Source organism: Homo sapiens, chromosome 16 (genome assembly GCF_000001405.40).
Source record: "Homo sapiens chromosome 16, GRCh38.p14 Primary Assembly".
Taxonomy (NCBI): Eukaryota; Metazoa; Chordata; class Mammalia; order Primates; family Hominidae; genus Homo; species Homo sapiens.
In genome coordinates this window covers 16,013,314-16,038,869 of record NC_000016.10, presented here as the reverse complement: position 1 = coordinate 16,038,869, position 25,556 = coordinate 16,013,314, and the positions used below count along the sequence as shown (strand labels likewise).

Below are 25,556 nucleotides of genomic sequence, written 5' to 3'. Positions count from 1 at the left end.
GCTCCAGGGGACACAAAGGTGGGCATCCGTCTTCCATGAGAGGAAGCCGAGCCAGGTGATCAGCAGAGGCGTGGATGATGAGGAATGCTGAAGCCCACACTACAAATGTGGCCTGCTTAGCGGGGGGGATGCTGCAGGTGAGGCTGAAGGAATCCAGATGAGATGGGTGATGTTAGGGGTCAAGTTGACTGGGTTAAGGGATACCCAGATTGCTGTTAAAGTGTTATTTCTGGGTGTGTCTGTGAGGATGTTTCCAGACGAGACTGGCATTTGAATGAGTGGACTGACTAAGGAAGATCCATCCTCGCCCCATGTGGGTGGCACCGCCCAATCAGCAGAGGGTCCGGACACAACAAAAAGTCAGAGTAATGGCAAATGCAGGCACTCTCTCTTCTGCAGCCAGGATGTCATCCTCTCCCACCCTTGAACATCAGAACTCCAGGATTTCTGGCCTCTGGGACTTACCCAATGACTCCAGGTTCTCAGGCCTTTGACTATGGACTGAGAATTCCACCATCAGCTTCCCTGGGTCTGAGACTTTTGGACTAGGCCTGAGCCATGCTACCAGCTTCCTGGGTTCTCCAGGTTGCAGATGACCTAGGGTGGGACTTCTCAGCCTCCATAATCACATGATCCAGTTTCCCTAGTAGATCCCCTCTCATCCTCCATCCATCCATCCATCCATCATCTATCAATCATCCATCTATCTATCATCTATCCATCTACCTACCATGTATACATCCACCAACTATCCGTCTATCATCTACCTATCATCTATCAATCTATCATCCATCTATCTATCATCTATCCATCCATCCATCCATCCTACTAGTTCTGTCTCCATGAAGAACTGTAATAAACAGGGACCCCACCTTTGCCTGCCAAAAACCTTCAACTGGGTCATGGACATGGGCCATTTCCTTACAATGCTCAGTCACAGAGGCCCAAGCTCTATCTGCCTCCCACGAGACAATTTCTCCCATCACCTGGACCACCCAAACAGCCTCCGACCGGAGTCACGAGGTCCTCTGCTGATGTCCTAGTGGCTGGCACATGGATGTCCAGATTCCCACCCACCATCTGGGTCTGACTGAAGGCCTGTATCCTGGGCATCCCCGGAATAGAATGAGGAACAGAACCCCGGTCTGGGGTTTTTCCCTGTAAGGCCAATGGGTCTGTGGGGAATCCAATGCACCACACTGGCCCCACCACAGTTTATCGTAGTAAACTTACCCCAGAACAGGCAACAGGAACAAAAACAGCCATTCTACTACCCCCATGGCCGCAATCCACTGCCCCCATGTCACCCACAATTTCATGTTCCAGTTCGTCCGGGCTCGAGACAAGTCTTATGTCCTTGTTTAATTGGCAGCTGCTTTTCTTTCTTACTGTTACATAGAATAATAACGCATCACGCAACTAATGGTGTCTCAGATTTGATGAGTTAAGGTATGTGCAGGGGAGGCACTGGCCTGATTCCCGAAGAGTGACAGAGGTGGTGCAGTGGGGCACGCCTTACATAGGGGGTAGAGCCTAAAATCCAGTACAGCCAAAATCACCCTCAAATGGGGCTTCTTTGGCTAAACAGACTTACGTGGTCAGCTGGGCATGTTGGACAGAACATTCAAACAGCAAGAACATGCAGGATGCCAGATGCTCAGAAAGAGACAGAAAAAAGTGAGACTGACTCAAGGAGGGATAGTCACGCGCCATGGCAGACAGCATCAACTGCCTGTTTGGACAACATTTTTCTTCTTTTTTTTTTTTTGAGACGGAGTCTCACTCTGTCTCCCAGGCTAGTATGCAGTGGCACAATCTCAGCTCACTGCAACCTCCGCCTCCTGGGTTCAAGTGATTCTCCTGTCAGCCTCCTGAGTAGCTATGATTACAGGCGCCTGCCACCATGCCTAGCTAATTTTTGTATTTTTAGTAGAGACAGGGTTTCACCATGTTGGCCAGGCTGGTCTCAAACTCCCGACCAAGTGATCCGCCTGCCTTGGCCTCCCAAAGTGCTGGGATTAGACACGAGAGCCACCGCACCCAGCTTCTTTCTTCTTTTCTCTGCCCAGTTGCTTTAATGACATGTGAGATCCTACCCCATTTGGCAGAAAAGCAAACTGAGGCCAGGAGGAGAAGTGAGGCATCTTGCCCAGAACCACAAAGCTAGTAACAGGCAGCACTGCCAGGGCCCCATCCTGGATTGAGGCCACAGGAGTGGAAAGGAGGTGACCAGGGCATCCTGGAGGACAAGGAAACTCACACTTACTTCCTAGTCTTGGCGCATTCCTTCTTCCAGTTCTTTACCAAAACAGGCACGACTTGTTCCGACGTGTCCTCCTTGTTTAAGGACCAGAGGTCACTGCCCTCCAGGGGCTGGCGGTAGCCCCGGACAATCAACCTGGGGCCAAGACACAAGGGGGTTAGGCAATGAGAGTCAATGACAGGAGGAGGGGGAGGACGGGGCTCACTCACTCCACACGCCTGCTGATGCTGCTCCCCTCTGCAGCACAGCTGCCCGCTGCAAATGAAGGCAGCCATGCAGCTTGGGAAGTCAGAATGCAGATGGACATTTGCATATATTACAAGCTAATTACAGCTCATTCTGTTGGGTCATGCAGGAAAAATGGCTTTTTTTTTTTTTAGTGGTGCATACAAAAGACTTAGGGAAAAAAAGATGATTTAGGAGCGAAGTATCAGGATAGCTCTTTTTTATTTTTTATTATTCGTTCATTCATTTATTTACTTGGAGAGAGGGTCTCGCTGTGTCACCCAGGATGGAGTACAGTGGTGCGATCGCAGCTCCCTGCAGCCTCCAGCTCCCGGTCTAGAGTGGTTCTCCCATCTCAACCTCCCGAGTAGCTGGGACTTTGGGTGTAAGCCATTATGACTGGCTAATTTTTTTTTTATTTTTTATTTTTGTAGAGACAAGAGTCTCCCTATGTTGCCCAAGCTGGTCTTGAACCCCCGGGCTCAAGCAACCCTCCCACCTTGGCCTCCCGAAGTCTTGGAATTATAGGCATAAGCCACCGTGCCCCGCCAACTTTTTAAAATTTTAAATTAAAAAAGGCTGATATGGGCCAGGCACGGTAGCTCATGTCTATAATCCTAGCGCTCTGGGAGGCCGAGGTGGGAGGATTTTGTGAGCCCTGGAGTTCAAGACCAGCCTGGACAACATAGGGAGACTATCTCTACGAAAAGTAAAAATAAAAAAATTAGCCAGTCATGATGGCTCGCACCTGTAGTCCCAGCTACTCGGGAGGCTGAGGTGGCAGGATTGCTCAAGGCCAGGAGGTGGAGGCTGCAAAGAGCCGTCATTGTGTCACTGCACTCCAGCCTGGGCAACAGAGTCAGACCCTATAAAAAGAAAAAAAAAAAAATAGGCTGAAGGAAAAAATTAAAAAATAAAAAGGCTGACATGACAAAGCATTAGTAAGCATGAAATCTGGGTGATGAGATTATTGAGTTTTATTATATTAATCTTTCTATGTCACTCCATCCAGGCTGGAGTGTAATGGCGCCATCTCAGTGCACTGCAACCTCTGCCTCCTGTATTCTAGCAATTCTCCTGCCTCACCCTCCCAAGTAGCTGGGATTACAGGCGTGTGCTGCCCGGCTAATTTTTGTATTGTTAGTGGAGACAGGGTTTCACCATGTAGGCCAGGCTGGTCTCGAACTCCTGACCTCAGGTGATCCACCCACCTTGGCCTCTGAAAGTGCTAACATTACAGGCATGAGCCACCGTGCCCAGCAGACTAAACACTTTTATAATAAAAGGTAAAATACTTTCATGTTTTGTTCTAAAATAATTTCAAACTTATAGAAAAATTACTCAAATCATACTAAGAATTCACTCAACTCACCATTGTTAACACGTTGCCACGTTTGCAGTATCATTCTCTGTCTGTATCCATTGACATGCACACACAAACACACACACACATGCAAACACATCATCTTTTTCTGAACCACTTAAACAGTTAAAGGGCTGGCATGGTGGCTCACACCTGTAATCTCAGCACCTTGGGAGGCTGACGTGGGTGGATCACCTGAAGTCAGGAGTTTGAGACCAGCCTGGACAACACAGTGAAACTCCATCTCTACTAAAAATACAAAAATTAGCTGGATGTGGTGGCAGGTCCCTGTAATCCCAGCTACTCAGGAGGCTGAGACAGGAGAATCTCTTGAACCCAGGAAGCAGAGGTTGCAGAGAGCTGAGGTCCTGCCACTGCACTGCACCCTGGATGACAGAGCAAGACTCCATCTCAAAAAAAAAAAAAAAAAAAAAAAAAGTTAACATACAGCCTCTACATGCCTTTACCCAAGAAAAACTGGAGGTATTCTCTTCCAATCCAGGACATGCTCTTATGTAACTAGAGCACAATTTTCCAAAACAAGAATGAATGTTATTAGCATGCATCCGGGGTCCTGTAGTCATGAACAAATTACATCAACTGTCCCAGTGATGCTTTTTAATAGTAACTTGAAGAAATTATTTAAAACATCTAATTTTTTAAAACGATGTTTGTCATTAAGACAAGGATGAGACCGGGCATGGTGGTTCACGCCTGTAATCCCAGCACTCTGGAGGCTGAGGCGGGAGAATCACTTGAGCTCAGAAGCTGGAGACCAGCCTGGGCAACATGATGAAACCCCATCTCTACAGAAAGTACAAAAATCTGCTGGGCATGGGGGAGTGTGCCTGTAGCCCCAGCTACTCAGGAGGCTGAGGCAGGAGCATCACCTAAGCCCAGTAGATTGGGACTGCAGTGAGCTACAAGTGTGCCGCTGCACTCCAGCCTCAGCGACAGAGCGAAAGCCTGTCTCAAAAAAAAAAAAAAAAAAAAAAGATGATGCTTATTAGGGGCAAAAAAAGATTCTTCAAACAATCCCCACTAAGATGTTAACAACGGGCAGAAAAAGATATACAAAAAGAGGACCAGAAGGTAGCTGGGCATGGTGGCTCACACCTGTAATCCCAGCACTTTGGGAAGTCGATGCGGGTGGATCACCTGAGGTCAGGAGTTTCAAGACAAGCCTGGCCAACATGGCAAAACTCTGTCTCTACTAAAAATACAAAAAGTAGCCGGGCATGGTGGCGCAAGCCTGTAATCCCAGCTACCTGGGAGGCTGAGGCAGGAGAATCGCTTGAACCTGGGAGGCGGAGACTTGTAGTGAGCTGAGACTGACAGAGTAAGACTCCGTCTCAAAAAAAAAAGAAAGACGACCAGAAGAAGGCATACTAAAATGGTGACACTGGTTACCTCTAGATGTCTCCTGCACTGCTGATCTGCACATGTGGTTTTTTAACCCACACTTCCTGTGGTGAGACAGTATTATTTTTCTAAGGCGTGGGGGACAGGAGGGGGACAATGTCAATAATAACTATACCTAATATTTTAAAAACCCAAATCTGAAGCTAAAGCAAAAGCAGTCCAGCATATGGCTGTCCCAGGCAAAGCCTTCTGCAGAGGTGTCAGCTGCTCACGGCTCACGTGTTTATCACATTCAAGTTCACGGAACTGCCGGACAGAGTTGGTGTCTCTGAGACCACATGGCCAGCACAGGCAGATTCAAGACAACTCTGCAGAAGAGCAAAGGAGGGAGAAGTTGGGGAGGGGGAGCTGAGCATGTTCATTCGTTCATTCATTCATTCATTCACTCCCCACCACCTCCCTGAGGTCTGGGGGGCCTGGCCTTACCCTGTGATCCACCAGAAGGTGATCCTCGACAGGAAGGAAGCGCTGGACTCTGGGCAGGGATTCTAGTGGAAAGAAAGCACAGGTTTGGGAGGAAGAGGGAAAGGAATGATTTGACTTTTCATCCAGGTCAGAGCTTAGCAAGTAGTCAGCTGCTCACTCTTCCTTCCAGAGGACTAGCGTCAGCTCCACACCATTCTGCACCCCAAAAGGACCCTCTCCTAATAGCCAGGAGAAAGAAATTCATGGCAGCTCTTCCAGTTTCAATCAACGGAGTGTCTACCATGTGCAACCACAATACAACATGCTATAGACCTGCCTTGTCTTCTATCCCCACAACAACCCTAGGAGTTGGTGTTAACGTCATCCCTACTTCACTCATTCATTCAACAAATATTTTCTGAGCACCTACTATGTGCTAGGCATTCTACAAGGTACTACAGGGTTGCCTTATATCCCCACGACAACCTCATGAGCGGGTATTACTATTGTCCCCACTTTACTCATTCAGTCACTGAATATTTATTGACCATCTACTATGTGCTAGACACTCTACCAAGAGCTTATATACTTGCATTATTTTATATCCTCATGGAATTCTATAAACATGGTATTACTATTATCTCCACTTCATTCATTCGTTCATCCAACAAGTATTTCCTGAGCACAACCCTTGTGCCAAGCACCCTGCATACAAATCTAAACAAACAGAAATGACCCCTGCCTGTATGGAGCTTGTGGTCTACTGCAGTAATCATCAGTAATACCTGCCAAGATTCTCTACTATTAGTAGCTAGCTCTTTTCTAAGTGCTTTACACAAACTACCTTATTTAATCTTCATCCTCACCTCACAAGATAAATAAAAGTATTATATCATCCCTGTTTTGCAGTTAAAAGAAACTGGGCCTGTAATCCCAGCACTTTCGGAGACCGAGGCAGGCAGATCATGAGGTCAAGAGATCGAGACCATCCTAGCCAACATGGTGAAACCCTGTCTCTCCTAAAAATACAAAAATTAGCTGGATGTGGTGGCAGGCGCCTGTAGTTCCAGCTACTTGGGAGGCTGAGGCAAGAGAATCGCTTGAACCCAGGAGGCGGAGGTTGCAGTGAGCCATGATCGAACGACTGCACTACAGCCTGGCAACAGAGCAAGAGTGTCTCAAAATAAAAATAAAATAAAATTTAATTTAACTTAAAAACTGGGGACCAGAGATGAAAAGATTTGTTCAAGGTCCCACAGCTAAAAGCGGTGGAGTGAGGATGTGAGCCCCAAAGAGTCAGGCTCCAGAGAGAGACATGCATCAAATGATCACATGAACAAATGCAAAACTACAACTTCTGGGCCTTGATGTGTGTCCTGAAGGGAGAGAAATATTACCAATGAGACAAAGTAAGTGCATGGGGGCTGATCTGGTGTACGAAGGTCAGAGAAGGCGCCCCCGAGGCAGACAGTCAAGCTGGCACCTGAAGGGTGAGTAGATGAGAACTAAGTAACAAGGAAAGGCAACGCATTCCCAACAGACAGCAGTGTGTGCAAAGGCCCGGTGGTAGAAGAAAGCATGGTAGACTCCAGGAACCAAGAAGGGGCCTGAGTAGTCTACACTGGAGGCTGTGCACAGTCTACACTGCAGGCCACATATTTTGGTCTTCATTCTAAGGGCAATGGGAAGTACTGAGAGATTCTAAGCAAGCTATCAAAGAACTCATTTCCCAGAGAAATGAAGATGAGCCCCAAGTCAACAACATGCAGGCAAGGAAAGGGACCGATACAGAGCTCCTGGGATGACAGACAAAGCCTGGCTTTCAACATGGATGCATCCGGGTCTAAATTCTGAAACACAAGCTTTAGCAGCAGAGGGAAGAGAGGTCACCAGGCAGTAATGAAAGCTTTAGCCAAGGACTCCACTCAAAGTTCCAGCCTTGTGCAGATATAAGGCATTTACAGAGCCCGATAAGGTGGCATACTCTCGTCCAGTGGTTTTCCATTCAAGGCTGGGCGTGCTTTTTAAAAAATACTGTATCCTGGCTGGGTGTGGTGGCTCATGCCTGTAATCCCAGTACTTTGGGAGGCCAAGGCGGGCAGATCACTTGTGGTCAGGAGTTCGAGACCAGCCTAGGCAACATGATGAAACCTCGTCTCTACCAAAAATACAAAAAATTAGCTGGATGTGGTGGTGGGTGCCTGCAAGCTCAGCTACTCGGGAGGCTGAGGCAGAATTGCTTGAATCCATGAGGCGGAGGTTGCAGTAAGCTGAGATCGTGCCACTACACTCCAGCCTAGGGACCCTGTCTCAAACAAAATAAAAATAAAATTTAAAAAAATACTGTATCCGGGCCCTACCCGCACCAGGCAATCTGATTAAGCTGGTTCTGGGTGCGACTGGGGCACTGAAGCTTTGTTTTTGTTTTAAACTTCCAGATTTTTCTTGGAAAAGTGGCTGGGCAGGAAATATGCAAGGTAAGCCAAGAACATCTTGTCACACCGGACAACAAGGAAACTAAGCATGAACAGGATTGTTAAAAGGCTCAAGAGCCAAGCAGAAGTGGCCGCTGCAGGCTAAAAGAGGGACAATTTGAGCTTTGACAAGGAGAATAAGTACAACAGGCTGAAACATACCAAGCAAGGTTTTTGTTTTGTTTTGTTTTTTGAGATGGAGTCTTGCTCTGTCGCCCAGGCTGGAGTCCAGTGGCGTGATCTTGGCTCACTGCAAACTCCGCCTCCTGGGTTCAAGTGATCCTCCCGCCTCGGCCTCCTAAGTAGCTGGGATTACAAGCATCAGCCACCACACTGGGCTAATGTTTGTATCTTTAGTAGAGATGGGGTTTCACCATGTTGGTGAACAGGCTGGTCTCGAACTCCTGACTCAAGTGATCTGCCCACCGTGGCTTCCCAAAGTGGTGGGATTACAGGCTTGAGCCACTGCGCCCAGCCTTACATGTTTATGTACACAAATTTCATATTGACGCTGGAAATAAAGAGAAACATCTGATGTTGTCAGTGAACCAGGTCATTGTTTGAACGCAGAAAAAGCGGAAAGAAACAAGTATTTTCTCCACCTTTCCCAAATGTACTCATTTGGTTCACCAGGGTTGGAGAAGGCTTCCCTGAGGAAAACAGTCATTTATTCGATCACCACAGAGTGATCAGTGATCAAAGAAATGAAGGGGAAACTCTTTTCCATAAAAAAATCCCAGCTAAAACATAAAGAATGATATCATAGAAGAATGAGCCATTGTACAAACACAATGGATTACTGGAATATTTGATAATAATGAATTATTATTAAAGTTAGTATTACAGTCACATATACATGTTTTTTGTCAAGACAAGGTCTACCTATATTGATCAGGCTGGTCTCAAACTCCTGGGCTTAAGTGATCCTCCTGCCTCAGCTTCCCAAAGTGCTGGAATTACAGGCATGAGCCATCACATGCAGCCCAACAGTTACAGTTTTTAAAATTCTTATCTTTCAGATGTTATCATTAGAGAAAGTTGAGCAATGAACAACAGGAACTCTGTTATTTTTGCAACTTTTTGTGAGCCAAACTATTGCGAAATAAAAAGTCATTTAAAATAAACAAATCCATGTCCTTCAGAGATACATATTAAAACGTTCACCTATGCAATGCATGGTAAAGAGCTCATGGCAGCTGGGCGCAGTGGCTCACACTTGTAACCCCAACACTTTGGGAGGCTGAGGCGGGAGAACTGCTTTGAGTTCAGGAGTTCGAGACCAGTCTGGGCAACATGGCAAGACCCTGTCTCTACAAAAAATATAAAAATTGGCCGGACATGGTGGCACGTGCCTGTAGTCCCAGCTACTCAAGAGGCTGAGGCACGAGAATGGCTTGAACCCGGGAGGCAGAGGTTGCAGCAAGCTGAGATTGTGCCATCGCACTCCAGCCTGGGTAATAGTGAGACCCTGTCTCAAAAATAAATAAAAAGAAAAGAAAAAGAGCTCATGGTAGTTCATTATCCTAGGCTGTCTACTTTATGTTTCCATCATAAAAGGCTAAATAAAAAGCTCCTCCAGTGATTCAAATACACAGCCAGGGCTAAGGATCAGGCTCCGCTCTGGGGCTCGGAGGGGTGATGAAGTTCCCAGCCCTGCCTGTCCACTGGAATCACCTAAGGAGTTTGTTAAGTGCCAAGTGCCTAGGGCCCCAACCCAGACCAACTAAATCAGCACCTCCAGGGGGAGGACCCTGACAGCCACAGATCTTTAATAAGATCATCAGATGCAGCCGGTGCATTCCAGACCAACTGAAGCCGAGTTCAGATCAGACCGTGGACCCGGACAGACCTGGGTTCTAATCCCAGCCCTGCTATATTCTAGCTGATGACCTTGGGCAAGTCCCTTCACCTCCAAGCCTCAGTTTTTACACCTGGAAAATGGGAGTCGTTTGTCCTACTGCTTGCTCGACCTATCCCCCGGGACTGCCAGGAGGGACAAATGACATGAGGCCCATGGGACTGTGTCGTAAAGCGGAATTTCTCCAACCTAAGGCGTGGAGGTAGTGGTGTTTGCTTTGTAGGCTGGGTAGAAACACTGCATTGCAGGCTGGTTTTTCATCCGGAAGAGCTGACACCTTCCTGCCCACTCCCACAGTCGGCGGGTGGGTTATCAGGGAATTGCAAATCCATTTCACCTGCAGCCCAAGCCCTCTACCCACTGTGAAAGACCAAGGTGCTGGCTGGCAGAGAGAGGAGGAAGGGGTGGGGCACGGCTGTCAATGATTCATTTATTTATTGGTCAAATATATGGGCAGGACTTGCTTATAGGCCAGGATGTGGGTGAAGTGCCGCGGACGGAGCTGCAAACGAGACAGCGAGACCCCTGCCCCATTCAGCCTCCTGCCCTGGGGAAGATGGACAGTAAGTAAACCACGGTGCAAACAAATATATAATTACAATCAGAATTACAATCAGTGAGAGCTGCAACAAAGGAAAAAGGTCAGTCATTTGAGGCCCGATATCACCCCTTAATCACTGAGGGTTGAGGTAGGCAGAGGTTAACCAACCGTTTCTGGAAACGGCCAGCTGATAACAAAGGAACAAAGGAAAAGGAAGGCGGCAGGGGTGGAGGGGCAGCTTCTGTGTGAAGCAGTGCATAGCACGGGGCTAGCTGGCACGGCTCAATCCCAGCTTGCCATTTCCTAGCTGTGGGACCTTGGGTCAGTTCCTTGGTGGTGAAGATTAAATGAGATCAAACATGGTAAGTACTTAGAATAGTACCTGGCACAAAGTAACAGCCAAAGAAAGGGTAACATGAGTAGTAGTAGTAGTAATAATAATAGAAGCAGTGACAGTAGCCTCTGGTATATGGAAACATAAAACTGTACACCTTAAATATATTTTCGAGACAGGGTCTCGCTCTGTCACCCAGGCTGGAGCACGGTAGTGTAATCATAGCTCTTTGCAGCCTCGACCTCCCAGGTTCAAGTGATCCTCCCACCTCAGCCCCCCAGGTAGCTGGGACTACAGACGCACACCACAACACCCAGCTAATTTTTGTATTTTTTGTAGAGACAGAATTTCACTCTATTCCTTGAGCTAGTCTCGAACTCCTGAGCTCAAGTGATCCACCTGCCTCGGCCTCCCAAAGTCCTGGGATTATAGGCATGAACCACCGTGCCCAACCTATATACCATTTTTATTTGTCAATATACATCAATAAAGCTCAAGTGTTTGGGGGGGAAAAAACCCCAGTGGGTTCACAATACACCACTATACCAGATGCTTTATATATCAGAAGCATCTATGGCCCACAGACCAGCTATTTATAAATAAAGTTTCATTGGAACAGTCACACCCATTCATTTATGTATTATAAATGAGTATGGCAGCTTTTGAGCTACACAGCGGAGTTAGGGGTTGCCACAGACAGTGTATGGGATGCAAAGCCTCAAGTATTTATCAGCCAGCCCTTTCCAGAAAAGGTTGGCTAACCTCTGCCTACCTCAACCCCCACAACATACCAAGACACAGTGATTAAGGGGTGAAAACAGGCCTCAAATGACAGTCTTTTGCCTGCAAATCCAGTCTTCTTCAGCCTTGGCATCAACACGCAGGATAGAGACAGCCAGGGGAGGCTTGAAATGCAGCCCATATCCAGCTTAACAAGACCCTCAAATCCTAACCTTCCCTCGGCCCAGTAAAACTAAGTCCCCAGCCACTGGTAGAAAACCTGCCCTGCAAATGCAACAAGGACATTGACAGACAGAACACTGCACAGTTTTTTGTTTTTTGTGTTTTGAGACTGAGTCTCACTCTGTCGCCCAGGCTGGAGTGCAGTGGCCCGATCTCGGCTCACTGCAACCTCCACCTCCCAGGTTCAAGCAATTCTCCTGCCTCAGCCTCCTGAGTAGCTGGGATTATAGGCATCTGCCACCACACCTGGCTAATTTTTGGATTTTTTGATAGAGATGGGGTTTCACCATGTTGGCTAGGCTGGTCTCGAACTCCTGACCTCAACTGATCCGCCTATCTCGGCCTCACAAAGCGCTGGGATTACAGGCATGACCCACCGCGCCCAGCAATTGCCATTTCTAATTTGCACACTCAAAGAGCTTTGTCAAATTCTTCTCCTCAGGCCGCCTCTCTTCTATGGATCTAAACACAGATTTTCAGATTATCTCAAGTGACCGATAGGGAGGCCAACACAGGGTCCCCCCTTCACTGGCAAAAAAAAAAAAAAAAAAAAAAAGGAAATAGCCTTTTTTTTTTTTTTTTTTTTTTTGAGACGGTTTCACTCTCATCGCCCAGGCTGCAGCGCAATGGTGCGTTCTCAGCTCACTGCAGCCTCCGCTTCCCAAATTGAAACAGTTCTCCTGCCTCATCCTGCCACATAGCGGGGATTACATGGTGCACACCACCATGCCTGGCTAATTTTTGCATTTGTAGTACAGACGGGGGTTTTATCATGTTGGCCAGGCTGGTCTCAAACTCCTGACCTCAAGCGATCCACCCACCTCGGCCTCCCAAAGTGCTGGGATTACAGGCATGAGCCACTGCACCCGGCCTGGAAACAGCCTCTATCTGACGTGGAAGGCCTTACTTGACAACAAAGACAACTAACTTCTGAAGTAGGTCAAGGATTGACAATAAAAAAGGAGGAAAAAAAATCATGGGGCACTGGATTGTAATCCAGGGAGCATGTCATTTAACCCAAACCAAGGAGAATCTTTTGACATCACACACTAGGTACAAAAGACAGAGCCACCTCCAGGGGGTTTCCCAGCCTCAGACACTGAAATACAGTAACTCCTGTCCCAGATAGCATGAAAGCAGCTTGTGAACTGGTCCCTCTTTCATTTGAAATGAAAACAATTCAGAGAAGTCCTGGCTGAAGGCAGAGGGAGGAAAAGCCTGATTCATCCAAACAGAGTGATGTGTTCTTTGGCATCCACCATATTGACATCTACGTTTGGTACCAGATGAGCTGGCCAGAAACCCTGTGGTTTGAACCAATTAGGTACGGCAGCCCCAGGCACTGATTCTTGGAGCGCAGGGTAGTTTAAGGACCTTGTCTGGGTCTTTCAGCATGTTGACCTGTTTGTCAGAAACACTCTCAGCTTTTAGTTCTAACGGGTTTTCTGCTGGTTACCTCCGCTCTGCACTGCCAAAGTGCCCCCCACAACCCCTGCACCCAGCAGGAGGCAATGCGTGCAGCAGCAATAATGTTTAGAGCAGTGATCCTCAAACGCAGCTCTGTCACCAGCATCGGTGGCACCTGGGAACTTGTTGGGAACCGCAGATGCTCGGGCCCCACCCAGACCTACTGCATCAGAAACTGTGTGGGTGGGGACCAGCAATCTGTGTTTCAAGCGTGAGAACCCAGTGGGAGGGTTCCTGACACATCACCACTCTGACCCTCAGTGTCTTCATCTGTCAAGTGGGGAGACTGATCATCCTGCCCTACTGTGAGGACTAAATAAATAATACAGTGCACCCAGCTGTTATCCTTATTATTAGACGGAGCCTAAATGTCCAGCAGTAAGAGATTTGCCAGTATAACGTAAACACTGGTGATTTGTTTGCCCTGTTGCTTACCAACTGTGCAAAATGCCTCCCTGCCCAGGACCTCCGTTTCCTCTACTGGAGCACACCCCAGAATCTTTGCCCATGCCCTTTGCCCATCAACTTGTCTGTTTTCTTTGTTTTTTTGTTTCAAGAGATGGGGTCTCACTATGTTGACCAGATTGGTCTCAAGAAATCTTCCCCCCTAAGCCTCCCAAAATGCCAAGACTACAGGTGTGAGCCACGCACCTGGCCCTTTTTCTGGTTTTTGATGCTGTAGTGGGCACAGGGGAATATCCTGGCTCAGCCTCCCTCTCTACCTGCCTGGGTGCCTGCAAAGGCTTTTTAAGTGCCACCGACCTCACCCCCATGTCCAATGTATCCTCTTCCTTTGAGCCTGAGGATCTTCCACAACCTGTCCAACCTGAGTGTGTCATTCCACTGGTGAAAAACCTTTCCTCAGCTCCCACCACAGTAGGGTTAAAATTCCAAGTCCTGGCTGGATGTGGTGGTTCACCCATCCCTGTAATCCTAGCATTTTGGGAGGCCAAGGCAGGGCATCACTTGAGCTCAGGAGTTCAAGACCAGCCTGAGTAACATACAGAAACCCCATCTCTACCAAAAACAGAAAAAGTTACTTGGGCGTGGTGGCACGCAACTATGGTCCCAGCTACTTGCGAGGCTGAGGTGGGAGGATCGCTTGAGCCCCGGAGGTGGAGGGCACGGTGAGCTGAGATGGCACCACCGCACTCCAACCTTGGTGACAGAGTGAAACTCCATCTCAAAACAAACAAACAAACAAAAAATTCCAAGTCCTTATTGTGACACATAATTGCACCCTTGATCTCTGATGCTGACTCTTGCCTCTCTTTTCGCTTACATCCTAGCCCTTCCAATCTAGCCAAGCAGAATTCTTTTTTTCTTTCTTTCTTTTGAGACAGAGTCTTGCTCTGTCGCCCAGACTGGAGTACAGTGGCGCGATCTCGGCGCACTGCAACCTCCGCCTCCCGGGTTCAAGCAATTCTCCTGCCTGAGCCTCCCGAGTAGCTGGGATTACAGGCATGCACCACCACACCCAGCTAATTTTTTTATGATCAGTAGAGACGGGGTTTTACCACGTTGGCCAGGCTGGTCTTGAGCTCCTAGTCTCAGGTGATCTGCCTGCCTCGGCCTCCCAAAGTGCTGGGATTACAGGCATGAGCCACTGCACCCAGCCTAGCCAAGCCGAATTCCAAGTGATTCCCAACACCCACAAGCTCCCTCAACTGGACCTTTGCACATGCCAGTTGCTCTACCAGGAGCACCCTCCCACCCCACCACCTCCAAACATATTCACCTGGCCAGAGCCTCGCATTCCTTAGACTTGAGCATCCCCTCTCCTCCCTGGATGCTAGCCCTGGAGCCCCAGGCTGAGTCAGGGACCACTCTCCCAGCCCCCACAACTCCCAGCACTTCCCTCCCTCAGAGCCCCCACTGTCCATCCTGCAGTTGTTGGTTCAACTGCCTGCCACCCACCTTCCATCTCTCCTCCAGGGCAGTGGTCAAGGTCTGTTTCTTTCTAGCTCAGCCCCTGGCACAACACCTGATTATTAAATGACTGAAAGCATGACGGAGAAATGGAAAGAAAATGGAGTTTCAACGCTTTAATCAACGGTCCAAGATCAGGCCTTGGTGGGTGGGGACAGAGACTGATCATGAAGGGGCACGAGGGAACTTCCTGGCGTCCTTGCAGTGTTCTATATCTTGACAGGGGTTTAAAGTATTCCTTTACCAAGATTCATCAAATGCTAACTTGAGATCAGCAATTTCACTGTATGTAAATTTTAAGCAAAAAACTCAGAAGTGTAAACAGATCTTAAACTCTAGCTAATGATTTACTTGGAAGTGGGTGCATGAAAGAATACTAATATATTTCGAAGGAAGTTTCAGATATCAAAAAAACTAGGTTCAGTGGCTCAGGCCTGTAATCCCAGTATTTTGGGAGGCTGAGGTGGGAGGATGGCTTGAGGCCAGGAGTTCAAGACCAGACTGGGCAACATAAGGAGCCCTCACGCCTACAAAAAATTTAAAAATTAGCCAAACACAGTAGTGTGCACCTGTAGGGCCCAAGCTACCTGGGAGGCAGAAGCGGGAAGATCATTGGAGCCCAGGAGTTGGAGGCTGCAGTGAGCTATGATCACACCACTGCACTCTAGTCTGCGAGACAGAGTGAGACCCTATCTCAAAAACAAAAAACAAAACAAAAGTAGCCGGTTGGCTGGCTGATTAGCTATCTGGTTAGACAGACAGATATGTGACAAAGCAAGTTTAGCAAAATGTTAACTGTGGCTCTAGGTACCAACTATATGACTGCTCACAGTAGAATTCTTTCGACTTTTCTGTAGGTTTAAGAATGTTCATAGTAAAATGCTGGGGGGAAAATATTACATATTATACAGACAGGACTAAAAATACCTCTTACTGCAAACGAGCTGAGTAGCTTTCACTGAATGTTCCAAACCAGTGATTTGCAACCCTGAACCACCTGGAGATCTTGTTAAAATGAGTTTGACTTGGTAGGTCTGGGATGAGGCCTGAGACCCAGCATTTCTAGCAAGCTTCCGGGGGATGTCGAGCATTCCAACTGGTCCAAGGACCTCTGCTTTCAGCTGGGACCTAATAAATGATCTCCTTTGGCCTTGATCCCCTTATCTACAAGACCCTCCTCCCCCAAACCTAAACCACAGACTCAGTGCCAATGAGAAAAAAGGCAGGAGACTGGGGACCGGCCGGAGCTCTGGCAGTCTTGGTCAGCCCTGCCCAGGCTCCCAAAAGCCTCGGCAGCCCCAGAGCCAGAAGGACAGATGGGAGGAGCCCCACCAAGCAGCCAGGGCTGGAATAGACATCTGAGTCATGGAGTGGGAGCAGGGCCAGCTGGGGAGGATTGGCCGACTCAGTGACTCAGCACGAAGTGGCCTGGAGGAGCCAGCCCTGCCAGCTCCCACCCACGCCCTGCCTGACCTGACCCCAGCCGCCCCAGGCCTTGGCTGATCACTCTGAGGACAGGCGACAGGTGATGGATGGCCTGCTGCTGCTCTGAGGATGGGAGAGCAGCAAGCCTGGACTCTCCCCATCTTCCTGGCTCCACTGTGATTCAATCCCTGAGAGTGATGGGAAAACAAGCAAACAGGTTGTCCCGTTGTCCTCCTCCCCAGATCACAGGGCTCAGGTCTGGGACAGAGAGAGGAGGTGAAGCCAACAACAAATCGAGTTGCAACCCGTTTTCAAGAAGGGGCTGCTGACGTCCCCAAAGGAAGAGCACCGAGCCCAAAGCCACAAGTCTAGCTGATTCTCACAGGACCTGGTTCCTACCCTTCCTTGCCCCCATCTCAATTGCTAGGCTACGTTGCTAGGTAGTTATGTGGTTATTTTGTTTGTTTGTTTGTTCATTTGTTCGTTGTTTGTTTGAGACAGGGTCTCAGTCTGTTGCCCAGACTGGAGCGATCTCAGCTCACTGCAACCTCCGCCTCCCGGGCACAAGCAATTCTCCTGCCTCTGCCTCCTAAATAGCAGGGATCACAGGTGCTCAACACCATGCCCAGCTAATTTTTGTATTTTTAGTAGAGATGGGATTTCACCATGTTGGTCAGGCTGGTCTCAAACTCCTGATCTCAGGTGATCTACCTGCCTCGGCCTCCCAAAGTGCTGGGTTTATAGGTGTAAGCCACCACACCTGGCCTTGAACAAGATTTTTAAAAGCACTTAGCATCACTGAATTGCATACTTAAAATGGTTAAAATGGCAAATCTTAGGTTACATATATTTAACCCCCCAAAATGCAACATTAAAAAAAAAAATAAGGCTCTTGACACCATGCCAAGCCTTCAGAACATCTGTGCATACATCAGTCCCCTTCCTCTTTCTTGCTGGTAATACTTGAACAGGATGAAGGCAGAGAAGCAGCTTAATCTGATGTCCTGTGAGGCCTCATGCACACTTCACCCTTATGCAAGACATAATATACGTGCCACATGTACTGAGCACCTCCCCATATAACACAACAATAAATTACCACTACAGGCCCACCGTGTGCCTGGCTGTGTCTTAGGCACTGAGGTTACAAGGTGGATACTGCCACGTGAAGCCTCTAGCCTAACACAAAGCCATTATTTAGCCAAGACCCTCCCATTCAGCAGTTACAACCAAGCGAAGTGACATGATTGTGCACAACAGCCAGTCGTGAGTTCGAATCTCTGCTCTACTACTCAGGTCGAGCAAGGCACTTATGTCTGCGATTGTTTGTCTGTAAAATGAGAAAAATAGTACCAAGTTCACCAGGACTGCTGTGAGAGTCAAGTGAGACATGCATATAAAGAACTTAGCATAGTGCTAGCCAGTACACCGCAAGCATCTAATAAATGTCGATTCCCGTCCTTGCCTTGCATAGGAAGAAAGAATGCCTGCAAATGGAAAGGGGACAAAAAAGGAAGCTAAAAAGTCATCAGAGCTAAAGAAATGCTTAGACCAGGGGTGGACAAACTTCTTCTGTAAAGGGTCAGATGGTAGGTATCTTAGACTTTGTGGGTGCTACAGTCTCTGTAGCAACTACACAACTCCACTGCTGCAGCTCCAGACACCTGTAGACACTATGTGATGAACGCGAGTGGCTGTGTTCCAATAAAACTTTATTTACAAAAACAGGCAGCAGGCCAGATTCGGCCCATGGGCTACTGGCTAACTCCTGGTCTAAACTCTAATCTGCAAAAAGGTAAATGGCAACCCCATGGGGTTCCTGAACAGGAACCCAGAGGGAAGTTCAGGCTTCCTGGACAGAGAGTGTCAGCCAATCAAAGTGTTCTCTCCTGGACAGGTGCACAAATGTCAGAAATGCAGCAGCCTGCACACCCACATTTGACACCCTGCTGGATCTCACTGCACAAGAGGCAGACCACAGCCGGGCACGGTGGCTCAAGCCTGTAATCCCAGCACTTTGGGAGGCCAAAGTGGGCGGATCACTTGAAGTCAGGAGATCGAGACCATCCTGGCCAACACGGTGAAACCCCATCTCTACTAAAAATACAAAAACTAGCCAGGCATGGTGGTGTGCGCCTGTAGTCCCAGTTACTCAGGAGGCTGAGGCAGGAGAATTGCTTGAACCTGGGAGGCAGAGGCTGCAGAGCCAAGATCATGCCACTGCACTACAGCCTTGGCGACAGAGCGAGACTGCAAAGAGACAAACCACAGTGTCTTCCACCATCTTGGAAGACCAGCAGTGACACAGGAGGAGCCGAGCTGGGGGAGATGACACAGAAACAGAAAACAATGACTGGGGAGAAGAGTCAGGGTGTCCCAGCCCCACAACAGTGTAGCCTTTTAGCCGCCAGAGCTGAGAGCTTCATGTCACCCAGGGTGGCAGAGCAAATCCCAGGCCCAGGCTGCCAGGAATGCAGAAAGCACAAAAAAAGGTCCAAGTCAGATCTGTGAGTCACCCTGGTACACACACGCCCAGGGGAGAAGTGAAAGGGAATTTATCCAGATTCCCAAGGGAGATCAGAAATTAAGAAAGTCCCTCCTTCAAAAAGCTTCCAGAACCATCCATGGCAAGAGAGCTCTTCCCAGGCTCCCAGAGGAAGCTTGATGGGTTGGGTGATCCCCACGCCAGCCAGGCAGCCCCAACCAGACTCTGTTTACCCTGAGCAATCCAAGGTCTGCAGCCACCCAGTTGAGGTGTGACTTGTTTTGTATAAATCCCAGTTCTAAAGAATGGCTCGGCCAGACACGGTGGCTCACACCTGTAATCCCAACATTTTGGGAGGCCGAGGCGGGTGGATCACTTGAGGTCAGGAGTTCGAGACCAGCCGGGCCAAGATGGTGAAGCCCCATCTCTACTAAAAATGCAAAAATTAGTCGAGCATGGTGATGGGCGCCTGTAATCCCAGCTACTCAGGAGGCTGAAGCAGAAGAATCGCTTGAACCCAGGAGGCGGGGTTGCAGTGGGCCGAGATCATGCCACTGCACTCTAGCCTGGGCAACAAGAGCAAGAATCCGTCTAAAAACAAAACAAAACAACAGAAAAAAACAACAAACAAAAGACAAAAAAGAATAGCCCAACATTTGACAAACAGGGACACTCGGCTGCCACACACTTACACACACTGATACACAATACATATAACAGCCACTGACTCATGAGCCCCTCTCTTCTGTGTCAGGCACCAGCCAGGGATCCAAAATGGGGTGACCCCTGGGCTCAAGCGATCCTCTAGCCTTGGCCTTTCAAAGTGCTGGGATTACAGGCATGAGTCACCATTGCCTTTGTGAACTTTATACATATGCAAGCACACACAACACAAAGACACACACACACACAAACACACACATACATGAACATAAACACACTCACAAGCACACATTCACATATAAGCACATACACGCATATACATGCCTATGACTACCGAGACACACAAGCAGGCACATGCACACGTACACACAGATGCACAGGAATACATACACAGATGTGTGCACTTGCTCATTTCTCCAACCCAGCTCCTCTTTGGGCAAGGAAATACCAACACGGGACTCCTCAGAACATACACTGGGACATGCATTTCTTTTTTCTTTTTTTGAGACAGAGTCTCATTCTGTCACCCAGGTTGGAGCGCAGTGGTGTGATCTCTGCTCACTGCAACCTCCGCCTCCCAGGGTCAAGAGATTCTCCTGCCTCAGCCTCCCGACTAGCTGGGATTACAAGCATGCACCACCATGCCTGGCTAATTTTTGTATTTTTAGCAGAGATGGCATTTCACCATGTTGGCTGGGCTGGTCTCGAACTCCTGAACTCAACTGATCTGCCTGCCTCAGCTTCCCAAAGTGCTGCGATTACAGGTGTGAGCCACCACACCTGGCCTGAGACATAGGTTTCTAAAATCTCTTAGTTATCATCAACCTCCTCCTCCATACTGATGCCCACCAAGCCCTTTCGTCACCCACAAGGTGAGCCTCTGCCCCTCACAGAGGTTTAGGCCAAACCCAACAGAACCACAGAGGTGAAAAGTTCTCCCACTGCAATCCGCCCATTACCAGCTGACTAGCCATGAATCAGCATCAAATAGGTGCTCCAAGGCCTCCCTGCCCCATACTCACAATAAAACCCAAACAGCTCATCTGGCTCACAAGGGGGCTGTCCCACCTCTCAGGCACCCACTGTCTCTTAGCCTTCTCCTGCTGTGCTGGCTTTTCTTGCTGTTCTCTCCACACCTCCCCACCCCAGGGCCCTTGTACTTATTCCCCTCTGCCTGGAACACTCTTCCTCTAGGTGTTTGCTCCACCCACTACCTCACCCCTCTAGGTCTCCGCTCACATGCAGTTTTCTGGGCAGGCCTTCCCAGATCTCTCTTATCAAAAGCTGCACATGAGCCTGGGCAACACAGCAAGATCCCATCTCTATTTAAAAAAATAAAGAATAGGCGAGGCGTGGTGACTCACACCTGTAATCCCAGCACTTTGAGAGGCCAAGGCAAGAGGATCGCTTGAGCCCAGGGGTTTGAGACCATCTCCCCATCTTTAATTATTAATTAATTAAAAGTAAGCCAAGTTGGGGAGCAGGTGTAGGGAGAACATCAGGAGGAATAGCTAATGGATCCTGGGCTTGATTCCTAGATGATGGGTTGATCTGTGCAGCAAATCACCATGGCACACATCTACCTATGTAACGAACTTGCACATCCTGTACCTATACCCTGGAACTTAAAATAAAAGTTGAAGAAAGAAAAAAAATTAGCCAGGCATGGTGGTGTGTGCCTGTAATTCCAGCTACTCAGAAAGCTGAGGTAGGAAGATTGCTTGAGCCCAGGAGGTCAAGACTACAGTGAGCCGAGATCACACCACTGCACTCCAGCCTAGGCAACAGAGCAAAACCCTGTCTCAAAAAAAAGAAGAAAAGAATTAAGGGAAATTAATAAAGTGTTCCCTTTTGTTCTACTAGCAGAAACGGTGGCCATCTCTACACTCCTCACTGATAAGTTTCCATATTTACAGAATTTCTCTGAAACTGACAAAATAGACCAAGGATCTCACACTCAAATCCCTCAGGGGCCAGGCATTTGCCACAAGTGAGGAAAGCATGCCAGTATAATACAACAGGGAGTGCCGGGGACTCCAGCAACTCCTCAGCTCTGCCCTGTAGGATTATAGGCCTAATCTGTCAGAACTTTACTTTTCCAGAACATCTGGACAGCTAGAATTCATAAAAAATACCTGATTTGTAATTATCTGCTCACATTTTCCAAAATCACCATGCCAAGTGAGAAACCTACAGGCCTGCAAGACAGCAGTTCATCAATGACAAAGCAGATTCTCTCCTTCAGCTCCCCCAGCCACATCTAAGCCTCAGTTTTTCCATCTGTAAAGTAGGTGGGATGATATTCCCTGTATCAGGGGTTGAGGGAGGCTGGAACGAGATCCTGGATGGATCTAAGAAATGTTAGCTGGTACTGTGTCACGCATCTCTCTCACACACACACGCACACACACTCATCTGTGGTCACACTTACAGGGTCGTGGATGGTTTCCGAGAACAGGGGTGAGCGATCTGAGAAACAGGACAAGACGAGCTGAATGAGTAAGAGGGAAAAGTAGACGTAGAAAGTGATGTCACGAAACAGGTCCACCTGGGCATCCTACATGGTGGGGAAGGAAGGAAGAAAAAGATCACATTCTGGGGCTGGGTGTGGTGGCTCACGCCTGTAATCCTAGCACTTTTGGAGGCCGAGACAGGCAGAACACCTGAGGTCAAGAGTTGGAGACCATCCTGGTCAACATGGTGAAACCCCGTCTCTACTAAAAATACAAAAATTGGCCAGACGTGGTGGTGGGCAACTGTAATCCCAGCTACTCGGGAGGCTGAGACAGGAGAATCACTTGAACCCAGGAGGCGGAGGCTGCAGTGAGCCGAGATCACGCCACTGCATTCCAGCCTGTGTGACAGAGCAAAACTCCATCTCAAAAAAAAAAAAAAAAAAAAAACCAAGATCACATTCTGAGAGCAGGTGGCAGAAACCCACTCAGCCACAGGGACACTGCAGGCTCCCCAGGGGCTCCCAGCTCCCCCCGGGATGTAATGGCAGAAAGCCGGCTCCATCACGGGTAGTCTCACTGCTCACCGCTGCCTGATGGGAGGAAGACAGGGCTTGGGAGTGAAACAGAGCTGTATCAAGGCCTGGCTCTCTCACACTGGCTGTGGGATCTTGTCAACTTATTTAACCTTTCTGTGCCTCAGATTCCCCACCTATAAACCACCGGTGGTTCTTAACCAGGGGTGATTCTGCCTCCCAGGAAACATCTGGCAGTGTCTGGGGATATCTTCTTTGTGGTAACTTGGGAGTGTTATGGCACCCAGTCAGGGGAAGCCAGGGACACCCCTAAATGTCTACAAAGCACAGGACAGCCCCTACAACCAACGAGTCTCCAATCCAAAATGTCGATTAGTGCTGAGGCTGAGAAATTCTGTCCAAGTCACTGCAAGAGGTCAGGAAGATTATTCGTGACACATACACAGTCCCCTGCGAGGCACTTTGAAAACATGAACTCAATCAGCATCAGCTGCTATCACTCATAATAATATGTAGGCAATCAATAGTCAAATGTTCAGCTTCTTTTCCTTCCTTTGCCTCATGCCAGTCTCTAATTAGCTCCAAGATGGCAGGAACAGCAGGTTATTCCAAAAGCACACACTCCAGGTCAGGCGTGGTGGCTCACGCCTGTAATCCCAACACTTTGGGAGGCCGAGGCGGGTGGATCACGAAGTCAAGTGATCGACACCATCCTGGCCAACGTGGTGAAACCCCGTCTCTACTAAAAATACAAAAATTAGCTGGGCATGGTGGCGCGTGCCTGTGGTCCCAGCTACTGGGGAGGCTGAGGCAGGAGAATCGCTTGAACATAGGAGGTAGAAGTTACAGTGAGCCTAGATCGTGCCACTGCACTCCAGCCTGGTGACAGAGCGAGACTCCGCCTCAACAACAGCAAAAAAAAAAAAAAAAAAGTGCACACTCCTCAAAATTCCTAGCAGCAGCACACAGCAGCCAATGTAAACAACTTCCCCAGCCAGAGCAGCAACTGATGGGACAAAGGTAACGCGAGGACAAGCCTAGGGTCCCCCAGGGGAACAGTCACTCTGCAAACACCGTTCCCGGCTCGGCTCCATCCCAGCCTGGCAAAATTTGGAGCCGCCTGTCTTGCTGTTTCCTGCTGATGGGGCCAGCCTGGCATCGGCCCACAGCTCCTGCCCTTGGAGGTCCCATGGGAGCCCCTTGGAGCAACACAGACAAATCAGGCCCTGGGGAAAGGAGGTGCTAGAAAAAAGGCTGGGGCTGATTTAGTGAGGATTTGGTGGGGTAGGAAAGTCACCAAGGGAGAAGCTAGGTGCATGTGGTACCCAGCCCCTGGTTCCCATGGCAACGCATGACTTCTACACAAGCCAGAGGGACCCAGCATCTCTCCCTCCGGGTCCACTGAAGGAAGATGAGGAAGGAGACTGCCACTTACCTCTTTTAAGGCTGTCATAATTTTGGATCTCAGGATGGCTAGGGCACACACTAGGGCTACCAGCCAGAAAGTGAGCATGATCCCTGAAGACTGAACTCCCTTCCTCCTCTCCAGCTGAATTAAAAAGGTAGCAAGCAGCTGAGGAGAGAAGCACAAGACAGGAGTTGTTGGGTTTTTTTTTGAGACAGAGTTTCACTCTTGTCACCCAGGCTGGAGCGCAGTGGTGCAATCTCAGCTCACTTGCAACCTCCGCCTCCCAGGTTCAAGTGATTCTCCTGCCTCAGCTTCCCAAGTAGCTGGGACTACAGGTGCCCGCCACCATGCCTAGCTAATTTTTGTATTTTTAGTAAAGACGGGGTTTCACCACGTTGGCCAGGCTGGTCTCAAACTCCTGACCTCAGGTGATCCACTTGCCTTGGCCTCCCAAGGTGCTGGGATTACAGGTGTGAGCCACTGCTCCCAGCCACACTATTTCTTAATGGACCACGTAATAAATATTTTGGACTTCATGGGCCATAGACTACATCAAAACTACTCAGCTTTGCCACTGCAGTGTGAAAGTGGCCATAGACAAGATGTTAATGAATGGACATGCCTTCATGCCAATAAAACTTTATTTAAAAGAACAGGCAGAGAACCCAGTACAGAAAACAAAACCCACTTGCCCTGATGCTCAACGTTCCCGGGGTCAGCCTCTGCCCCATCGCCCCTGCTCTCTGCCTCGGCCATCTCTGCTCCAGCCACACACAACTCTCAAGTTTTCCCTGTGACCCTCAGGACTTTACATGTGCTTTTCTCCGCAGCTGGTCCTCTGCCCTCAGCCCCTTAAGCTTTTTAACAACTTGCTCATTCTCAGGCTTCACCTCCACCATCCCTCCCTCAGAGAAGCCTGGCTATGCCCCAGACCAAACCAAGCTCCCCTGCCTTCACCCTCACACAGCACTCTGCAGACGTTCAAACACTTTGTGCCTTTTGAGGAATCATTTGTTTAATGTCTGTTTGCACAGCTAGACTATATGGTTGTGTCTCCAACGCTTGATACAGAGTAGGGATAAAAAAAAAAAAATCAGCCAGGTGCAGTGGCTCATGCCTGTAATCCCAGCACTTTGGGAGGCCAAGGCGGGCAGGTCAGGAGTTTGAGACCAGCCTGGCCAACATGGTGAAACCCTATCTCTACTAAAAATACAAAAATTAGCCAGGCGTGGTGGCATACGCCTTTAGTCACAGCTAGCTGGGAAGCTGAGGCAGGAGAATCACTTGAACCTGGGAGGCGGAGGCTACACTGAGCTGAGATCATGCCACTGCATTCCAGCCT

At 48.7% G+C, this 25,556-nt stretch overlaps 1 protein-coding gene across 27 annotated transcripts in view, besides 1 other annotated feature; it reads right to left on the bottom strand.

The window, feature by feature from the left end:
- ABCC1 (ATP binding cassette subfamily C member 1 (ABCC1 blood group)) overlaps positions 1-25,556 on the bottom strand; it is a 193,911-nt gene that overhangs the window by 104,184 nt on the left and 64,171 nt on the right. For 16 of the 27 annotated variants that reach the window (XM_047434134.1, NM_004996.4, NM_001438755.1 and 13 more), the window contains exons 4-7: positions 24,242-24,379; positions 22,249-22,374; positions 5,700-5,761; positions 2,267-2,398 (exon numbers count right to left, since the gene is read on the bottom strand). In XM_047434134.1, coding sequence (XP_047290090.1) covers positions 2,267-2,398; positions 5,700-5,761; positions 22,249-22,374; positions 24,242-24,379 — 458 coding nt within the window. The remainder of the gene's footprint in view (positions 1-2,266; positions 2,399-5,699; positions 5,762-22,248; positions 22,375-24,241; positions 24,380-25,556) is intronic. The other 11 variants (NM_019901.2, XM_047434147.1, NM_001438719.1 and 8 more) reach the window with 3 other exon arrangements.
- Positions 16,504-16,798: an enhancer, noted in NCBI's record as "tiled region #4662; HepG2 Activating DNase unmatched - State 5:Enh, and K562 Activating DNase matched - State 5:Enh". NCBI's record gives its function as "activates a minimal TATA promoter and a strong SV40 promoter by Sharpr-MPRA in HepG2 and K562 cells {active_cell/tissue: HepG2 | K562}" and the evidence as "EXISTENCE:reporter gene assay evidence [ECO:0000049][PMID:27701403]".